The 7,086-nt window shown below is 50.4% G+C and overlaps 1 annotated feature.

The window, feature by feature from the left end:
• Positions 5,193-6,089: an enhancer, noted in NCBI's record as "H3K4me1 hESC enhancer chr21:44057507-44058403 (GRCh37/hg19 assembly coordinates)". NCBI's record gives its function as "activates a minimal SCP1, AML or CMV promoter by ChIP-STARR-seq in primed H9 embryonic stem cells {active_cell/tissue: H9 hESC(primed)}" and the evidence as "EXISTENCE:reporter gene assay evidence [ECO:0000049][PMID:30033119]".

The following is a 7,086-nucleotide window of genomic DNA, read 5'->3' as shown; positions in this document are numbered from 1 at the left end:
AAAATACAAAAATTAGCTGGACATGGTGGTGCGCGCCTATAATCACAGCTACATGGGAGGCTGAGGCAGGAGAATTGCTTGAACCTGGGAGGCAGAGGCTGCAGTGGCCTGAGATCGCACCATTGCACTCCAGCCTGGGCAACAGGGTAAGACTCTGTTTAAAAAAAAAAAAAAGAAAACCAAGTTCTTAACAGGTAGGAAAATTCTGTTCCTTTATTTTTCTTAGCAGTGGAGCCCTTGCTGGCATTTTCTCATTTGAGTAATTTGGATCTGAGAGCCCGGTGGAGTGAGGAATACCCAGTGCCTTCACCTGGACGTGGTCTCCGGTGGCCCAGCTGCAAGCGCCTCCCCTCAGAAGGGTCCCTCTCTGAGGTTGCAGCTGCCTGGGAATGGCTGTTGTCAAGATCCCCAGCCTTGAGGGACCATTTCCTTTCTCTTCTTCTGTTCTCTCATTCCCTTTGGATTTGCTTTCTAAGCACTGTCCAACCTGCGGCCTGCACAGTCGTGTGCCTTCCCCTTCTCTGGTATGCTCAGGGTGGGACAGGGCACTCTGGAGTTCAGTCCTGGATGCCCCAGTCCTCGGGGGCCGGCCCATTCTCACCACCACCTTGATGTTCTTAAATGAGGGAAAACACTGTTCTGGACCAGTTTAGACCAGGAGAGGCTGCAGTGTTTCGAAGAAGTGTCTACTGAAAAATTACATAAGGTGGGAGACGGGGAAATCTCAAGGATTTGCCAAGGCGAGGAAGCATGAGGAGGAGACGACCTGTGCCTGGCCAGGATTCCACCAAGGCCAAGCTGAATGAGGGGTCTTCCAGCCCCTGGGCCCCACCCAAATTCAGACAATAGCAAAAACCTTCAGTGAGTCTGGATCAGGGTGAGGCATTGGCTCCGAAGCTGGGAGTCGGGAGCAGGAGTTGGGGCTACATGCAGCTGGGCCTTAGCTCCGAGGAGTTTACTGGCAGACAGAGGAGGGAGGTATGTAAATGAGAGAAAATACCCTAGCCCCCGGCCACCCAACCCTGCACAGCCGCAGGACATGACAAATGCTATCTCCAAAAGAGGTGTGCAAAAAGCTCCATCAGTAAATAAGACAAGCAGAGCTCTACCAACCTGGGACTTATATTTTGGTGGGGAGATAGACCATAAACAATTGATAGATGTCTAATGTCAGGGCAGAGATAAGAGCTCTAAAGGAAAAAAACAAAGCTGAGAAAGGGGATAGAGAATTCCTGGAGCTGCTGGTTTAGATATTGTGGTCCGGGCACGCATCGTGGAGATGACATTTGAGCAGAGAGGTGAGTCAAGTGAACGAGGAGGAGACTCTGGAAGGGAAGGCCAGAGGCAGCGGGTGCTGGGCAGGGAGATGGTGGAAAGAAGCAGCCAGGGACCACAGTGGGTCAGTTTTCTCCGGATTGGGGTTCTGTTCTAGGCATGACAGAAGCCACTGGAGGTGGCAAAGGCATGGAGTGAGTGGAGCCGACTTAGGTGCAGGTGCACAGAGAGGTCTGCGGGGTGGCTGTGCCAGCCAGCCCTGGGGTCTGAATCCAGCTCTTACCTGCTGGGGACACTGGATACACCCCTTAGCCTTCCCGTGCCTCAGTTTTCTTCTCTGTAAAATGGAGCAGTAGGACCCTGGCAGGGACGATCTGGTATAAAGTGTGGAGAGCATTTCGCCCACACAAACGATGCTGTTATCCTGCCTTTGCTCTCTTCTCCCTGCCTCCTTTCCTGCTTTCTAACATATGAATAGAATCTGGGCTGCTTTGCGGTGGCCCTGTGAGGTCCGCATTCTGTGGAACAAGCACTAGATCACCGTTGCCATGGCAGTTGCAGTTTCTTTCCCCCTCAGGAGCGTAGGTTTACGAATTGCTGAAGAGGCCCCTTTAGAGTGAGTCGAGCACTCTAGAGAAAATTTCTCTCCCTATCAGGGGAATTGCAACCATTTCTGGAGCTAATTCCACGTCAGGCATCTGGCTGTTGGGAGGAGGATCCTCCGGGGGCAGCTGAAATCTCCGAAGAATTGCAGAGGCCTGGAGCGCCCTCCCCCCGTGTCATTCCTTGCAGCCTTCATGGGTCCTGCTCACCCCACAGCCAAAGCATGCACTGGGCTGCCCTGTGGGCACAGAACGAGCACCGTTCCAAGGCTGTCTTCCTGGCAACCACAGTCTACATTTATTTGACATTTGTTCGGGAGTAGCTCTGTGACTGTGCTTCTGAAACACATCGGTGGACGGCGGGGGGGGGGGCGGGGGGCGGGCGGTCGTGGCCATTGCTGCTTTCAGATAAACTCCCTTTCAAAGCACAGTGGTAGGAGCAAATCTAATAGCCCACCAGCAAAACGTTAGTTATTTTAAGGCAAGCCGGTCCTCAACCATCCTAATAAACAAAGAACAAGGAGCTTTGGCCACTGTGCACAGGGAAGCCCGGTGCTTCAGAAACAAACAGATTTGAGCTTTTCACTGATGAGGTGCCCAATACAAATTTCAGTTCATTATTGGATGACACCATACATGGCTCTCCAAAGCTTTTTTCTTTTCCTGTCTAAAACACAGGACTAGCAAATCTTGCTCGTATCTCAGGTGTGTGAGAATGCTTTCAGCTACAGAAGAAGGAAGCTCAGGTCAAATAAACTTAAGCAAAGGCTATGTTTTGACTCATAACTAAATAGTCCAGAGATTGATCTGGCTTTAGACGCCAAGTAGAATCAGGGACTCAATTTCCCTCTCTCCCCTCCCCTCCCCCAAAGGCCTTCCCCTCCCGTATGGCCAGTATCAGGGTTGGCTGGCTGCCCAGAGCTCACACCCTACCAGCCTCATAACCTTGGTAGAAAGAGAGTAACTTCCCGAAAACTTCATGAGAAATGTTCTGGAGAGAACCCTGAGGGCAGAGCTGGGCCCCCGGTGAGCCATTTCAGTGGGGGGACTGGGTGCCCTGAGTGCTATGGTGGGGTCCCCTCTAAGCAGTAATACCCAGGAGTGGCAGGTTTAATTCACTAATTATATTTTTAAAATCAAATTTTTATTTTAGAACTATTTTAGATCTACAGAAAACTTGCAAGGATAGTGCATGGAGTTCCCATAGACCCTACCCCAGTTTTACCACCTTCCTTCAGGAAGTTACACTTGTTAAAATAAATGAACCAATACTGATACTTTATTATTAACTGAAGTCCATGTTTATTCAGATTTCCTTTTTGTTAAACATGTCCTTTCTCTGTCCCAGGATCCCATCCAGGACCCCACATGACATTTAGTCGTTCTGTGTCCTCAGCTCCCTTTGGCTGTAGCGATTTCCTGGCCTTTCCTTGCTTTTGATGATCTTGACAGTGTTGAGGAAGCCTAGTCAGGTACCTTGTAGACTGTCCCTTAGTTAGTATCTTCCTGATGTTTTTCTCCTGATTAGACTGGGGTTAAGGGTGTTTGAGGGGGAAGACCACAAAGGAGCAGGGCGATTGTGGCCAAATCATGTCAAAGGCACACACTTCCAAAGGAGTCCTTCCTGTTGACGTTGACCTTGGCCACCTGGCTGAGGTGCTGTGAGTCAGGCTTCCCCACTGTAAGGTCACCCTCTCTCTCCCTATCTCCAGGCCGTGTGCTCTGGAAGGGAGTCACTGTGCACAGCCCACGCTTAGGGTGGGGGGTCCACAGCACCTCCTCGAGGGGGCGTCTGCCCACGTCATTTGGAATCTGGCATGGGACATTTGTTTCTTCTCCCCCACGTATTTGTCTCTTCCACCATTTTTGTTTATTCTGTATGGACTCATACTGTGGGCTACAATTCCATACAACTTTACTAAATGTTGCTCCCAGTGTTCCAGCATTGGCCATTGGGAGCTCCTTCGGTTGGATCCTGTGGCCCTGTGACACACCCCATAAGTGAGCCTGTTTTCCTTCCTGTGTTTTTGAGCACTTCTTTTTATTCTGGCACTTACAGGGCATTCCAGGCTCATCTTGTATATTTCCTGCCCCAATTGTAGAATCAGCCATTTCTCCAAGGAGCCCAGGTTCCTATTCCTGGAGAGGGTATTAGAAACCAAGGCCTGGGTGCTAGGTGTGCTTGTTGCTACTGGGTGTCCCTGCTTCTAGGCCCTCTCGGCTGACAGAGCAAGAAAGCATTGCGTGTACACTGACATGGGTATGTACACATATCCATAACCAATTCCACATATGGCCTCCGTGTGTGTGTGTGTGTATGTATGTATATATATATATACACACTCTGTGTGTGTATGTATATATTATTTTTTGAGACGGAGTCTCGCTCTGTCGCCCAGGCTAGACTGCAGTGGCACAATCTCGGCTCACTGCCACCTCTGCGTCCCCGACTCAAGAAATTCTCCTGCCTCAGCCTCCTGAGTAGCTGGGATTACAGGCGCATGCCACCACGCCAGGCTAATTTTTGTATTTTTAGAAGAGACGGGGGTTTCACCATGTTGGTCAGGCTGGTCTCGAACTCCTGACCTCATGATCCGCCCACCTCAGCCTCCCAAAGTGCTGAGATTACAGGTGTGAGCCGCTGTGCCCAGCCTCTGTGTGTATATTAAGTCAGATGTGAGCTCCTATTGGTCCCTTCAATTCTAATCCATTGCCACATGGACCACCCCAGCCTCCTCTTGCTCATGTGTTACCTCCCCCCCAGCAGTGAAGAAGCTGACCAAGCCACCTGCCATGCGGTGCTGAATTGTGTGGTTCCAACGTTCATGTGCATGGAAGTTTGGAGAGCCAGCCAGCCGGGGGATGGGCGCACAGGACCTAGCCACCTGAATGTGGCGGCGAGGGAGGGTGGGGGAGGGGCACATCGGATGTGACTGCTTCCATTTAGGGAGTCCGGGTGGGACCCTGTTCCCGGCTCCAAGGCCGTGGCTGCAGAACAGTCCCTCCTCCCCGACCAGGAGGCTGAGCCCCAGCAGTGTTTGAGGAGCTAAACTTCAGCCATGAAATTCATGGACAATTGAGCCACTCCTCTGCAGAATGTTCCATAAGGGGCCCGGAGAGCTGCTCATTTCCTCCTCTCAGCCCAGGCTGCACGCCGCGGGTCTGCTTCGAGGCTCAGATGATAGGAAGGATGTTTTCACGTGTGGGAGGCGAGGAGTGTGCCCAGCTCCACAAGCCAGCAAAGGCTGTGAGAAAACATATAAAGACACTGGAAGGGGCTGTCAGACAAGCCAGAGAATCTTTAACCCAGAGAGGGCGTGAAAAGAACAGAGACCCTCCATGGGCTGGAAGAAGACCATGCGTTAATTTTGAGTTAAGCTGTGAGCCTCCTGACGAGAAGCCCAGGGTTAAAACGGAACTCGCAAGCACAATGTTGAAAGGCACCTTGTTCTGCCTGTCGTCCAAAGTGACTGCCTCTTTGAAAAGTCCCCAAGCCAGACTGAGGGAGCCTGGTTAGGGCCCCCAGAAGTCCAGCCGGTAACACTGGTGCATTATTAAAGTATTGGGTGCCGGGTCAGCTCCTGGAACAGGGTTCCCTCTGGGGTAGCGCTGAGGCTCTTCCTGTTGGCTTTGTCCTCCTGCAATGGGGCTGGGCGGGTGAGCGTGGGGGCAGGCTGCCCTATTGGCTGGGGTTGTCCTGCACTGTCAGCTGCAGCTGTAGCCAGGAGCCCCCCTGTCTGAGGCTTGAGAGTCAGCGGAGCTGGCCTGGGTATTTTGGTCAAAAGTTGCCCAGCACGATCCATCAGGGAACATGTGACGTCCTCGTGCTATGTGACCCTCAGCACCAGTTGTCTGTTGACACCCGAGCTGTCCTTTGCCGATTGCTGAAGGGTGAAGAAACCGTCTGCCTCTTGCGTTCCCTTCGCCTCTCCCATGCAGCGCAGACGCTACGTCGCCTCATGGTCACACGCCCCCTTCCCATCTAGGATATGTCGCTTCTTATCAGAATTCGCAAGTGAGATCAGAGCTCAGCGCTGTGGTACTTCTGAGAAGGAGGTGTGGGTCACTGGAGTCAGCTTTCCTCGTGTGTGTGCACACGCGTGTGTGTGTGTGTGCATGTGTGTGTGCATGCGTGTATATGCGCGCATGTGCATGCGTATGTGTCTGCGTGTGTGTGCATGTATGTGCGTGCGTGTGTCCATGTGTGTATGTGTCTCTGTGTGCGTGTGTATGTGTGTGTATGTGTCTGCGAGTGTGTGCGTGTGTGTGTGCATGTGTGTTCGTGCATGTGTGCATGTGTATATTTGTGTGTGTGCATGCGTGTGCATGTGTAAGTGTGTGTGCATGTGTATATGTCTGTGTGTGCCCGTGTGTGTGCTGTGGAATACCATGCACGAGCTGGTTTAGCACCAGTGGGAACTGGACACGAGTGTCTTATTCTGGCTGAGGCTGATTAAACTAATCCCACCTACAAAACACATACAGCCTCCGAGGCTTACTCCTTGAAAATCTCATAATTGTGGCTTAAGAAAATGCATAGTCCTTTAATACTTTAGAAATATTCCTTTGTCTTATTTTGCAACTTAGATTGATCCTTTTAAGAGATGCTGTGATCAGGCACATGGGCCTGATGTAATTATGTGCATGGGCTGCATGGTAAAAAATGATACCAACCCATGCTCACAATAAATGCCATTATTTGTCCTTCTTGACAGGTTGGTTTAATACGCTGGCCTTGTGCTTTAGAAAAGAAAAGACAACGGTGTATGAAATGGCACAAAACTGAAAAGGCAAAAACGTCTTTGGAAAATTACGCAAGGCTTCTTCAGCTGAGTTATGATGCTTGCAGGCTGTAATTAATATATTACACAATAGTACATTGTTACAGTATTAGTGTTACAGAACATGAAAACAACCATTTGCTTCAGTGGAAAAGCTACTCACCGTTGGGAATTTATCACTATGTGGAGGAAATATCTAGTGATTTGACTCAATGTAAACCTTTCCACTGACTGATTTGATGATCTGCAGACAGAGCTTTAATGAATCACTGTTAAATCTACTTAGCTGCCTCACGGAGGAAGGAAAAGAACTGTCTTTAAATAAACAAAATGAAAACCAGGGAATATGCACTAAGGTTCCCTGTGTTCTAATCTGTGCTTTAACTGAGGGGCAAATAAGAAACACTGCTGTGGCCAGTGAGGGTTGC

Source organism: Homo sapiens, chromosome 21 (assembly GCF_000001405.40).
Source record: "Homo sapiens chromosome 21, GRCh38.p14 Primary Assembly".
NCBI classification, from domain to species: domain Eukaryota; kingdom Metazoa; phylum Chordata; class Mammalia; order Primates; family Hominidae; genus Homo; species Homo sapiens.
Note: the sequence above shows the minus strand (reverse complement) of the source record. Positions and strands in the feature narration are given on the sequence as shown.